Source organism: Homo sapiens, chromosome 5, assembly GCF_000001405.40.
Source record: "Homo sapiens chromosome 5, GRCh38.p14 Primary Assembly".
Lineage (NCBI taxonomy): Eukaryota > Metazoa > Chordata > Mammalia > Primates > Hominidae > Homo > Homo sapiens.
In genome coordinates, this window is record NC_000005.10 from 145,699,857 (window position 1) to 145,714,102 (window position 14,246).

Sequence of the window (14,246 nt, forward strand, 5' to 3'; positions counted from 1 at the left end):
AACAGACCCTGGTGTTTGGTGTTTCTCGCTTCTTTTGGTTTCCTGGTCCCAAAGGGGTCACTAACTTCCTGGGGATGTAACACCAAGTTCAGAAAGCTGAATATAAGTTCTGCAACTTCCTGAAATTTCCCAACTGAAAAACAATTTTCCTTTTAGAGCAACCACAGACATGGATAAGCACAGTCACATATCTCTCTGTGGTCACTTAATTCCCTCTTAATAGGTGAGGAAAAATGGTTGGAGTGGAGTGATGTAACCTCTGCAAGCCTAACAGACATTTAGACTATATTCTCAAAGTGTCATCAGAACCCAGTGGTTTTTCTGGTCATCAACAGCATCCCCCCCAACTTTCCATCGCCCCTAGACATCAACCTGTAATGATTTTAGGACCCACAGACCTAGATTCAAATCCCCAATCCTCAACACATGAACTACATGACCTCGGGCAACTTCAGTGATGTATGTGAATCTCAGTTTACCAAATCCATGTACTCAAAAAAATATCAACTTACTTTCCTAAATCCCTTTCCCCCCCACCACTCTCAACATGGAAGATTGATATGCTGCTGGTTTTCACCAGCAAGGTAGAAGCATTTATAAAAATATTAAATATTATCTGTAGTTTTCATAAATAGCCACTGCCAATATCACCAGAATCTCTCCATAATCTAGCAACAAAAGGGTTAATAACTGGCACATCTGGGACCTCTAGGACCCACAGCTGGTATCATTTCTTATTGGTAGATGCCCAAGACAGTCAAAGTACCCAAAAGTATCTGTCCTTGCTGCCCACCACAGGTTCTCCCAGGGGTCCCCAAGGACCAGCCACGCTCCCTCTATGTATTCGTCTCGGCCCTGGGGATCCCTGAGTGAACACTACCAGACTATATGGGAGCATCCAACTCACTGTAGCTCACAAATACCAATATCGGTTCCACCTGCCACAGTGTGTCCTAATGTGGCAAAAGCAGTATGGGGAATACCTTTGGCAGTGCATCTAACACCCAGGTGAGCAAGCCCCTCCATGGCCATACGGACCACAGAGACTATGGCTGCCCATCTCAGGCCAGCATGCCATAGAATTATCTCTGTGTGACCACTTGTGGAAATTACAGCCACTGGGAGCCAGGCTCTGAGAGGACCAGAGAAAGATGAGGACAGCAGATGGTCAAGTCAGGAGATATTAGGTGCCACTGCAGGCTCAGGCCAGTGGCCGAAGGCTTCAACTCCATGGATGGCAATTCCAAGAGAGAAGAGTACTTTTTGAGAGTCCTATAATTACTGTGATTCTCCCCATTTCACAGACTAAGAAACTGAGGAACAAAGAGATTATTTAAAATGTAGGTGACAGAGTCTGAATCCAAACCCAGGCACCTTGGCAACAGAGGAAGCATGCTTAACCTTCACACCGACTGCACTGCCTCTCATTTGACCCAAAGTATACTTTCAACTTAATTAAAAATGACATTCCAGTAAATGATTTTCATGGCATAGTTGATAAGAGAGAATTTGACCATATAAAAATTTTAGACAACATTATAAAATCTAGAAAAAAATTAATGTAATTGCTTAGTTCAGCAGAAGCTGAAAAAGGCCTCAGGACCCTGAACAATAGTATTGATTTTAAAAAGAAATTCTCTATTTTTTGAGAATGCAAGTCTCCTAATGACTATCGACCAACAAATGAGCAAAGAGGTTGGTGGAGGAGTTTGATGTAATTCCCTGTGTCAAACCACAAGGTGTCACTTAGCATTTGACAACTATGCCATCAACAAATCACAGCAACAATTTCTAAAAATCAATAAATGACCTGTAAATCATTATCTTTTTAATGAACTATGTGCATTTCAGCTTGTATCACTTGGTAAGCAGTTTAATAATTTAGATTAGAGAATTATAAAATATACATTGAAGGCCGGGCGCAGTGGCTCACCCCTGTAATCCCAGCACTTTGGGAGGCCAAGGTGGGCAGATCACCTGAGGTCAGGAGTTCAAGACCAGCCTGACCAATGTGGTGAAACCCTGTCTCTACTAAAAATACAAAATTAGCCGGGCGTGGTGGCACATGCCTGTAATCCCAGGTACTCGGGAGGCCAAGACAGGAGAAATGCTTAAACCTGGGAGGTGGAGGTTGTGGTGAGCTGAGATCATGCCATTGCACTCCAGTCTGGGCAATGAGCAAAACTCTGTCTCAGGAAAAAAAAAAATATATATATACACACACACACATATATATATATTTAATGTTTTTATTAATATATTGATTTATACATTAGCGTATTACTGTAATGCTTAAGTATTTTTAATGCCATCCCTATAAACACTTATAAAAAGGATATTTTCATAAGTATGTATGAGAGTGAGCTAGCAAATTTATGATCATCTGAGTATGGTGTTCAAGCACCACTACTTTGCACAAAACAGCCCTTCAAATCTAGTCATCACACAGACCACTCCTTGTCTCATCTGTGTCTGAAGGTAGAATCATGCACAGAGAAATAGGACATCAAGATAAAAGTAAAGGAACTATAGTAGATGGGTTAAATGTGTTTTTCTTTTCTCTGTTTCTTTTTTCTTATTTTGGCTCTTGGATCCCTCCTTGGGGAAATCAACAATTCCCTACTTCATGTGGTCCTTGCAAAATGCATCAGGATGCTTTCTTTGACATAAATTAAGAAAGAAAGAAAAAAACTCTGACAGCTAGCTTAAAATCTCACACAAGAAGGCAAGAGGTAAAGCAATTCAATGACATTCGGGTCTTCTGTTCTCTAACTAGTTAAGAAACTTGCCTGAAGCACCCCCATGCCCAGCAGACTTCCAATTCATGTTTTGTGTCAATTGGCCAAAATGAGGTCACAAAAATTTGGCTGCTTCTAAACCAAGAAGCACATAGGGAAAGGAATTATCTTAAGTGATACAGACTAATCAAGACTCCCTACCTACCAGGGCACCCCTAATAAAACTTCAGCAGCCAAAAGTCAGAGAAGATACCACTTCTATGTGGGCTTGAGTTCCACAATCACTAGAAAAAAATGTTAAAGGTAGATCTTAAGGAGGAAAGAAAGTCATTTAGCAGATTGATATATAATTATTTCCCTTTCTATTAAAACACAGCAAATACTATCAAATAAAGCAATTACTCAACTCTCAACCCTAACAAAAATGCACACTAGACATGCAAACAGAAAGCTGGGTCCAAGTTGGAAGCTAGATTCACCATTTACTGGTCTGTGCAGCACCCATTGGCCATCAAGTGTCAAGTATACTAAGTCTTTGGAAGAAGCCAGACAAATTACCAAGCAAACACAATCTATTCAGAGCAGAGAGTTAGTAATATTAATTGTATCAGATAGGAATTTTTATGCAAAGTGTTTAAAACTCAGCTGAAATGCCTTAAGCAATTGATCCAGAGTCAGAGTGGGCTTTAAGTGAACTTCGTTGATTCAGCAGTTTAGACATTATTACCAAATACCCTTGATGTCTCATCTTCCTTCTGTCTCTTAGCTCTCCCTTCCATAGGGATTGTTCCATCATCAGATTCCATGTGGTAGACATGCCCCAAATACACACAGTAGCTTCAGCTTTACTCTTATGACAACCAAATAGCTGCCCCAGTTTCAAGCCACACATGCTAACCCTAAATGCTCCAGGGAAAAGAAAATGTCAGTTCCAACAGCACATAGCCAGGTCTTGGGATCCCTTTCATTGTCTTGAAATGGGACATTTGACTAAACCCAAACTAATAACTGCAGCTAGGGAAAGAAGATATAAATTGGCTTAGGTCCATTACAGTCTAATCCTTGAACTTTGTGACAGATCAACTCCACACCAAAATCATATAGAAAAGAGAGATGTTCAAGATATAGTTAGAGGGAGAAAGGGAGAAGACAGGAATGGGTACTGGAGCATCACACAACAAATTTCCCCTGCACCTGTCCTCCACACCTGAGTGCATAAAGAACTCTTCCCAGCAAGTCTCAAATTTTCAGGTCTCTTTCACAGCTACGTTTTACAAAATCACAAGACTCATTTTACTCATGCAACTTAGAGAGAAAATAAATCCATAAAGTCATGGCATATTTTATTCAACAACTGCCCCAGAATTAGAGTCACAGTACCTGAGGTGTCTTCCTCAGTTGGTTCAGAAGCAGGTTTTGTGGTTAAAGTTCTCCCTGATGAAACATCATTTCAAGGGGGTTTCTGGATGTGAGCTCACTGGGCTGTAACCATTGCTAATCGAGCTTGGAGATTTAGTTGCTGGCATTACACACAAGATGTGAGACAAACGCTGGGCTAAGCGATGAGATGCCAGCCCAGATTGGCATGTGGATCATTTTCACTCAATTTCCCTCCACTGATGGATCAAAACTCTAAGCACAGCAGTCAACCAGGAGAAAATTCCAAAATTTGCATCTGTCCATCCAGCTTCCAGCTGCAACCTGGAAACAATGTAAAAGACACAGAGGAAATTCCCAACTTCCAATGATATACCAAGCAATGAGATGAGAAATGAGCAAAACACGATCTGCAGCCCAAATATGGTGTTACTGGGGTGACTTCCCAAGTCCACAGCAATCCATGAGCAACAGTCTGGTGTACTCAAAACACACTTGAAATCTGGAGTCTGCATACTCATATTTGACAAAGTACTACTTGAGAATCACTTGGTGTTACTAAGGTTTAATTTCTTCCTCTGTAAAATAGGAAACAATATAATGAAATAGAAAACTTTTGAAATATCTGCCTAACCCACAACTGTTCCTCTTAATGTCCCCCAGTGTATAGAGGAGCCACTTTGTAAATAGTTTTCCGCAGGAGCCATTTTTGACAACGGCTGCAGTTGACTGGACCAGGAGTGAAATCTTGAGAAAGTTGGGCCACCTATGTTTCTCTCCTAGATAAAATTTAGAATTGGGCCCGAAAGGGAATATAGTCTCCTTCAGAGTGGTGGGACCAGTAAAACAGAGAATTGGGCTGTTAGCAGCCAGATGCACTTGTACTGACAGGGAGAGGCAGATGAGCTGTGCAAAGAGATTAAAAAGCACACACAGGAAGGAGCTGAGAGTCATGACTGCTTTCCAGGCCCTTTCAGAAGCCCAGCTGAGCCCAGGGGTTGCAGGGCAAATCCCCTATTTTTAAAGTCAGTCTTTCTCAATTCCATTTTCTTGTTTAAGACACCCAAGGTGGTTTCCGTTACTTGCAAGCTAAGAGTATTTATGAACATATAATGTCTAACTCACTCGGAGGGTCTGAGAATTAAATAAAATAACGATGCTTTACAAATGGAAAGCACTCTAACAACTGATAAAAAAACAACAGATCTGAACCCAAAAAGTACCTTTTTTTTTTTTTGAGATGGAGTCTTGCTCTGTCACCCAGGCTAGAGTGCAATGGTGCAATCTCAGCTCACTGCAACCTCCACCACCTGGGTTCAAGCAATTCTTCTGCCTCAGTCTCCCAAATAGCTGGGATTACAGGCACCTGCTACTATGCCCAGCTAATTTTTGTGGGTTTTTTTTGTATTTTTAGTAGAGACGGGGTTTGACCATATTGGCCAGGCTGGTCGTGAACTCCTGACCTAGTGATTTGCCCGCCTCGCCTCCAAAAGTGCTGGGATTACAGGCATGAGCCACCTGCCCAGCTAAAAGTACCATTTTTAATGAAAGACTAAGAAAGATGATTTTGGAGATGATATTTATTGACATAGAAAGATGTTTATCAATAACCAAATAGTTAGGCTACCAAAATAGAAATTGTTTATACCGGGGTCAACAAATACTTTCGGTAAAGAATCAGATAGTAAATATTTTAGGTTTTGTAGGCCATATGATACCTGTCACAACTAATCCATTTTACTGTTGTTTTGAGGAAGCAGCTATAGATAATATGCGAAAACAAAATAGATGTGCTTGTGTTCCAATAATATTTTATTTATGAACATTGAAATGTGAATTTCATATAAATTTTACATGTCACCAAATAATATCCTTCTTGTGATTTTTTTCTCACCATCAAAAAAATATGAAGTATAAAATCCAATCTTAGCTGTGGGCCATACACCACCCATGCACACATGTGCGCCTACACACACACACACACACACACACACACACACTCCCCACAAATTTGATTCAAAATGTTAGAAAGAAAAAAAGTTTATCTTAAGGTAGTGGATTTCAGGGATACTTATTTTCTTGTTTTTGTAGCATAGGCATATATTACTTATGGAATTATTTTTAATTAAATGGGAAAAAAAAGGTTAAGTCATAAAGTGTAGATGAAAGACAAAGAAGGAGGCAGGAAAAGGGCAAAGTTGGAGTGCACAACTCCACCAAGGTCCCCTGGAACTCTAGCATTCTTCCTGCAAGCTAAGCTAGCTCCGGGTCGCACTGGAAGCCACAACTATGCCACTGGCACAAAGCAGGAATACTGTCTGTATCATCACAGAACCACCTTATGAAGAAACTCAGCATCTAATTCCAGAAGTTATAATAAGAACCACAGTGTTTTCCAGAAAGAAAGAAACAAAAATTGATGAGCGTAACTCCTTTTTTTAGGACCCAGTTGATCAATGGATAGTTGGTTTTCCTTTATAGAAGGGAGTTCAAGGGAGCGCCCACTCAAACTCTAACCACGGCCTGAATATTTCTATGGAGCAGCTCTGCCCGGTCTTCATCTAGCCTCCACCCATATGAACTTCATAGGGGAAATACAATTCAATGTCTATGGGTCACCTCCTGTGCACTAGGCACTACGCTAGGTGATGTTCAAAAGATTTGCTCACTCTGCCAATAGCTGCAGTTCACTATCTCAGTGTCAGCATTGTTCAGTCTAATATGACTGAAATATAAAATAAAATAATAATAACAGTGTTATACTTGTGGCACCATTAAAATGTTGTCTCATTTTAAGTCTTCATGTTACCTATGAAACATAAATAACCCCAGTTAAGAAATGAGGCTCAGAAAGACTCAGTGTCTTAATGAAGATCATCCACCTGGCAGCTGGCAAAGCCGAGATTCAATCACATGCCTGGACTTCACAGTGACTAAACATCCTTTCCTAGGACCTTGCATGCAAGTTAACACTTGGAAGCCAGTTGGAAATGCAGTGTCTCAGGCCTCATCCTCAGGCCTGCTCATTCTGAATCTGCATTTGACACAATCCTTAAGTCACTCGAGTGTCCTTCAGATTCAAAGGAAATGAGGACGTGAAAAAATTTATTAAGCATCTGTGGGTGAGGCACTGTGCCACTGTGATACGATTATTTTTCTTTTAATCTCCACAATGACTCTGATTTTATACTCATTTTATTAATATATTGGTGAAGAAGCTGAGGCTCAGGGAAGCTAAATAATTTGCCCAGGACCCATAGCAAGCAAGTTGCAGTGAGTGGCAGAGTCAGGATGTGACCCCAATGATCGTGACTGCACTCTCCCTCTTGATTTTGTGTCAGGACTGAAGGAAGTTGAAGGGCCAAGTGGCCAACCTGCAAAAGGCTCAGCTGACCTTTGGAATCTGAGTGCGCCAGTAATGTCGGAAAGAAGGTAATTTCTGTATTATGAGCTCCAAGCTTATAATAAACCACAATAGAGAATAAGGTATAGGATCCTTAAGTGTGTCCACCAGGAATGAGACTTTTTAAAAAATCTCCGCTAAGTTAGTATGTTTAGTTTCCTTAAGAAGCTTATCCATAAGGTACTGAAATGGTGGCCTTTAGAATTGACAATTTTCTCCTCTCTGATTCAACTGGAAATAGAAATTAGTCTCAGGGCAACTACCAAGTCCACTACCAGCTGAGGAGAAATAAAAGGCTCTGAACGAACACTGAGAAATATTGGATCTTTTCAAAATAAAGACAGACCAAAAAAATTACTCAGATCAAGTCAAATCCAAATCTTCCTGATTTGGAAGTTCCTGGGATTGTTTACATTGTGTTGTCCCTATTCAAATTATGAAGTACTGTATACCCAAAACCACAAGGAGAGCATGCAAAAGGCTGCCACAGACAAGAAGGAGAGAGAGCCTGGGAGACACCCAGCATGCTGCGTGACCTCAGCCCCCACCCCACACAATCTTGCCTTGTTCAAAGCTGTATTCTTTTCACCTCAAAAGATGCCTGGCACATAGCAAACACTCAATAAATACCTGTTGAATAAATAAATGACTGAATAATATAATGCAATGATTATTCCATGTATCTGATGTTGCTCTAGGAAATTTGAGATGTGCTATTGGGGTGTCTCCAAAGCACTCTTGGGGTGGTTGGGGGTAGAGAGAACAGGCCCGCTCTTCCCCTCCCCACCAGCTTCCATCCAACTGGAACATCCCTGTTTTATATGTTGGGCTTCAGAGTAATATTTGACCTAAAGAAGCAGTCTCATCACTAAAAAGGAAAAAATAAATTTTGGAAAACCAGTAGTACAGTAAGAAAATGATGAATCAAGAAAAAAAAAAAGGATAGATTCTAACTCTTATTATTGGCTGTGTGACCTTAAGCAAGTTGCTTAACCTCTCTGGGAACCAGTTTGATCATTTATAAAATAAAATAGTTTATTGAGTTAGATTATTTCTAAGGTCCCTTCCAGCTCTAATGTAATTTTATTACATCATTTTAATTGTCATCCAATTGTATTGTTTTTTTCTTGTATGTATGTTTTCTGATTTATTCTAATTTCTTTACAATAAGCATTATTTTTGTAGGAAAAAAGATTTATTTTCAAAGACATATAAATTAAACAGAAAATTTTTTTCAACTATTCTCTACATTTGCATTGCTTTTAACAAAAGCTAGAAGATGTGTTTTCCCCCATTCTTGCCTGGGGAGAACAACATTTGAAGTCATGCTGTAGGGAGAGCTGAGCCTTCAAAAGCAAGTAATGCTTAATCTGTTCTATTTCTGAAGCACAAAATAAAACCAAACAAAATAGAAAAATAAGCTACCGCTATGCCAGTGCCAAGTTTCCTCATGCATAAATAGAGATCCATCCAGAAAAACAGCATTCTCAGTCGGGTGGGACAAATCCTCGTGTGCTTTTGTGGAAAATTCCCCCAGCAAGCTGGCATCAAAGACACTGTCTACAGCTGCCTCTATATATGGCCAGAAAACTACACAAAGGTTGTGAGATGCATGAGCTTTGCTGTGGCAAGCACCTGGGTGAGAAAGCTGCTCCAGCCCTGATCCTATGGCATAAACATGGCTGACAGCCCTAGACCTGACTGCAAGACCACCTTGAGCAAAACTAGCATAGGGCAAGACCTACAGTTGCTATTCTTGCGTCTTTTCCTGGACCGCCTACCAAACCCTACAGAAGCCCACCCACTGATTATCTCAGTAGTGCTCAGCTTCCCTTCCCCAGGGACCTACAGTTAATCCTCTCTTCTTGCTTCTTCACCAATACCTCTCTTAGGAAGGGACCCATAGCCACAATCATTTCAAAGTGCAAATAATTAAGTAGCTTTCTGTGCTATCTCCCCCAGGTGATTACACTTTAATGGAAACCAAGGAATAGTTTTCTACTTGTGGAGTTTCTGACTTTGGTGAGATTGGTGGGAGACAGCAGGAGCAGGGGGAGCTTCCAGATCCATCTGCAGTTATACATCAGAATTGCTTCATCATGCAAGTGCAAGACTGGCCTTCGCTAATCGAGTGTTGGATTCCATCAGGTGGAATGAACATTCTGATGGGAATAAGAAAAAGCAGGTTCTAGTCCTTGATCTGTATTTAAAAAAAAAAAAAACAAAATGAAGTGTGTCTGCTCTGTTTGGGCTAGACCATTTTTCAATTTTTTAATAATAACAAGACAGGAATTTTAGAACATCAAGAGATAGGAGCCAATCACCAAACTAAAGATTTTCATACTTCTTATTCTCTTTCAAATACAATGCTCAAATAGTATGTAGACAGTAACCATTGCCAACCCCATTTTTAGCTCCTCATTCAGAAGGCCCCAGATCCCAAGCTGTGGTCACTCCCTTAGAGACTGGAGCAGATGAGATCGGAGGAATTGAATGTGATCTTGCAATAAAACTTCTGGAGGTCAATTCCAGTTTTCTTCTAATAAAGAGGGATTATTCCAACCCATTTAATTTCTGTCCCTGGAGAAGCGAGATCTAATATTTAAATCTATTTATGGGGTTTTTTAAATTGCTTTTTTGGGGAAAGGGTCAAATTTCTTGCCAATCTATTTCAGAATCTATACTTACCAAAAGGATGATGGAAGAGGATTTCTAATCCAAAGGAACTTTTTCCAAGCAATTAGTAGGTACTATTAATTTTTCCTCCATGAAGGTTTGGACGTGTGCCAAGACACTGTCTACTTTGCTTAAGGCACAATATTTTACTTATCTCTGATATACATAAATATGTTATATATATGATAAGTATAAAAATATTTACTATCTTTGGTACTACTTATGTTTCTATAAGAAGAAAATTGTGTTACATAGCTGTACTAATGAATCCTAGGTCTATGTGGGATATTTTCCCAAGTGCTATCTAAAGCAAACTGCCATTAACCTTGGGAAAACAATTAACCTTTCTGGGCCTCAATTTTTCCCTTTTTCAAAAAGGTAGGAAATAGAATTAAGTGCTATTAAAAGATTCTTCTAGCTCTAAGATTCTGATTGCATGATTCTAGTTTACCTACCAAATCAGTCAGACATAGGTTTAGCTTCATGTCAGAGGAATTCTTCTCCCCTGAACTATGGCTAAAACAGAGAACGAACTATTCTCTCCCAAGAAAGAAGTCAGGAGGCAGGCAATCCAGACATAGCATAAGTGTCCATGATGCCAGGGCTCAGACACTTTTGTTCTTACTGTTCTACAAGAGTGACACTCTTAACATCACTGCCTGGTCCAAAATGTCGCTGAGGCTCACGCCATTTCATCTGCATGCCAAGTAGCAGAAATGAATAAGGGATAAAAAAGAAGGTTCTTTACAGAGGTTTCCCAGAAGCTGTCATAAGACATCTCTGCTTACAACTCATACACCAGAACTTAAACACATTGCTGCACCTCTCTGCAAGGGAGGTTGAGGAACAGAGAATTTATTCAGGTGGCCATGCATTCAGCTAAGCACACAGGGTTCTGTTTCTAAGAGGATAATATTAGAATAGACAATAAGTAATCTCTGCCACACATACCATGAAGCTATACTCTGCAATTTCACTTATCTTTGTTTACACCCCTTGACCCTCAGCTCAAACCCTTTTAATTTCCTGAACCCAAGCATTCAAGAGGATCAATACCTGCCATCTGCCCGCTTTTAGAAGTAATTTTCCAACTACCAGTACACAATTTAACTGAACAAAAATCATGTTTAGAATTTGAATCAAGAAAATTTCATTTTCACTTAGAAAGTAGGAGGTCATAGAAGAGTGTTGTTGCCATTCTAACAAAAAGAATAGGACAGTGACCTACAAAATCGCAGTTTTGTGGAGGCCATTAAAAATCTTGGGTTGCAAAGAAATCCAGAAGAACCAAAGTCCAGAAAATAGTGAGCTCCTGCTAGGAGAGAACATACCCATGGCTGCTTTCATCCTTGGTGAAGTGGTGAAATGAGGAGGAAGCTGCCATTGATTTGGATAAGACCATCTGAACCATTTTGAGTTGTGAAAGGCTAAGTGAGCGCTATCATGACTGCTCAGTATCTCCAGGAGCCCCAGCCACAAATCTGCAGCCACCTGCCAAGTCTCTCCCACAGACCTTCACTGGGTGCTTACATGGAAATCTGGGGACAGAGTGGAGAGCTGTGAGAGACTCTCCCTGAGTTTGCAGGTGTGTAGTGTCTGCTGAAGGCTGAGGGCAGAGTAGGAGAACTGAGAGAATCCCTCCAATGCACTCCAGTCCCTGAGTACTTACGGCTGTGTGTTGGGTGGGTTGGGGGGCGGGGGCAAGAGGACTGAGAGAAATTGCTCACAGGCACTCTGGGCTTCACTGAGTGCACTACCACAGGCAGAGGCAGGGTAGCACAGTGGGGCACAGAGAGCCAGGGGCAGGACTGAAGACCAAGGAGAACGCCCCAGTGACCCAGTAAGTTGGCAGCCAGACTGCAAAGCAAAGTGAGCTCTCCAGTGGTTCAGAACGCTGGTAGCTGCACTACAAAACACAAAGGTATCTCCAGAAATTCCCTCTACTCAAATCCCAAACCCTACTGAAGGGAGACTCCTGATGCTGCCCATAGATCATCTGAATCCAGTGGTGAACTAAATCTAACTAAAACAACAGCAAAGCCCTGATACAATCAGCTAACGCTGGTGTGCTGGAGCCATCAAGGTACTGGCTTGAAAGAGCTGATTGTCAAATGTTCAGCAATTTTGTGAGTCAATGTTAAATACCTGCACTATTAAATTATATACACTTAAATAAATGAATTACATTTTAAAAGGTAACAAACACTTAAAACTCATCACTTCCTAATGATTTTACGGTATTTTATAATTTTATATATATTCTTGAAGTTATAGCTATTGTATTTGTATATTAGAAATATTACATAATAATATATTACTGTGCTTCTCCCAACTCTCTGTTCTGTGACATCATGTTGATAGTTTGAAATTGGCAAGGGTAGAAATCAGCAAATGCTGTAAGCCAAGACTTTTCTTTCCAAAGATCCAGGTGTTAAACATCAACTAGCCCGCCACTGATAAATTAGATTGACCAGCCCTCTACACTAGCAGCCTAGCATACAAAGAAGCAATACCCTTTTTTAAGGATAAATAGCATTTATTTCAGCTGCTACTGTTCTTTTATATATAATATCCAGCATACAATTTTAAAAAATACAAGGCATGTGAAAAAGCAACAAAATGTAGCCCATCAAGAGAGAATATAGTATATGGAAGCAGACCCAGATATGGCTCACATGTTGAAAATATAAGACAGTAAATTTGAAAGAGCCAATATAAATATATCAAAGGATCTAGTGGAAAAGGTAGACAACAGTGGGCTATTTCAGCAGAGATGAAAGTTATTACTTATATATATAAATTCAACACATATATGAAAAAATGGAAACATGAAAAGTGAAAAATATCAGAGATGAAGAATATATTTGATAGGGTTATCAGAAGACTGATAAAAGCAGAGGAAAGGGTCAGTCAAGCTAAAGATAGGTCAATAGAAACTGTCTAAATTGAAATACATACAGAAAAAAGAATGAGGGGAAATAAAGAAGAGAAGAACAACATAGAACTGCGGGACAATATTAGATTAACAAACATATAACTGGAGTTCCAGACAGAGAGAATGAAGCAAAAGAAATTAATATAATGATTACAATCTTCCAAAATTAATGACAAATCAACTACAGATCCAAAAAGCTTACCTAACCCTAAACAAGCTGAACAAAAATAAAAAACATACCTAGACACATTATAGTTAAACTACTAAAAGCCAAAGATATAGAGAAAAATCTTAAAAGCAGCCAAGGTGGTAAGTGAGAAGGGGAACATTGCATACAAGAGAACTCTAAGAATGATATCTGACTTTATATATATATATATATATACTTTACATTATATATATATAATGATATCTGACTTTTATATATACTTTATATATATCTGACTTTATATATATACATATATATGTATACTTTATATATATATACACACACTATATATATATACTATATATGTATGCCAGAAGACAATGGAATTACATTTTTAAAGTGCTTTATATATATATACTTTTTATATATACTTTATATATATACACTAAAGTATATATACTTTATATACATAAAATATATATAGTAAATATATAATATATATTTATATATACTATATATAAAGTATATATAGTGTGTGTATATATATATACACACACTATATATATATAAAGTCAGATATCATTCTTAGAGTTTGCTTGTATGAGAGTTCTTCTGGCACATATATATATGCCAGAAGACAATGGAATTACATTTTAAATGTAATTACATTTAAATGTAATTCTGGCACATATATATATGCCAGAAGACAATGGAATTACATTTTAAAGTGCTGAAAGAGGGGGAGAAAACCTGTCTATATTCAGTGAAATTGTTCTTCAAATATGTGTTCTATATTCAGTGAAATTGTTCTTCAAATATGCATGGGGAATAAGCACATTTTCACATAAACAAAAACTAAAAAAAAAAGTCTATAGCAGACTAAGAACTGGCTAACTCTAGAGCCAACATTTTAGGACAAGAACTGAACTGAGCTCCTGATGACTGCACCTGTAAACAATAAACCTTTAT

At 39.1% G+C, this 14,246-nt stretch overlaps 1 protein-coding gene across 8 annotated transcripts in view, besides 1 other annotated feature; it reads right to left on the reverse strand.

Annotated features, from left to right (window-relative positions):
- The window catches only part of PRELID2 (PRELI domain containing 2), a 606,358-nt gene that overhangs the window by 470,872 nt on the left and 121,240 nt on the right, over positions 1–14,246 (reverse strand). For 2 of the 8 annotated variants that reach the window (XM_047416829.1, XM_017009128.2), the window contains one exon: positions 4,065–4,439. The exons of the other annotated variants lie outside the window; for them this stretch is intronic. In XM_047416829.1, coding sequence (XP_047272785.1) covers positions 4,371–4,439 — 69 coding nt within the window. In that variant the 3' untranslated portion in view covers positions 4,065–4,370. Of the gene's footprint in view, positions 1–4,064; positions 4,440–14,246 lie in introns of those variants that run through there. 8 annotated transcript variants of the gene reach the window in all.
- Positions 11,536–11,736: a silencer, noted in NCBI's record as "peak5513 fragment used in MPRA reporter construct". NCBI's record gives its function as "represses an SCP1 promoter by STARR-seq MPRAs in K562 erythroleukemia cells {active_cell/tissue: K562}" and the evidence as "EXISTENCE:reporter gene assay evidence [ECO:0000049][PMID:32103011]".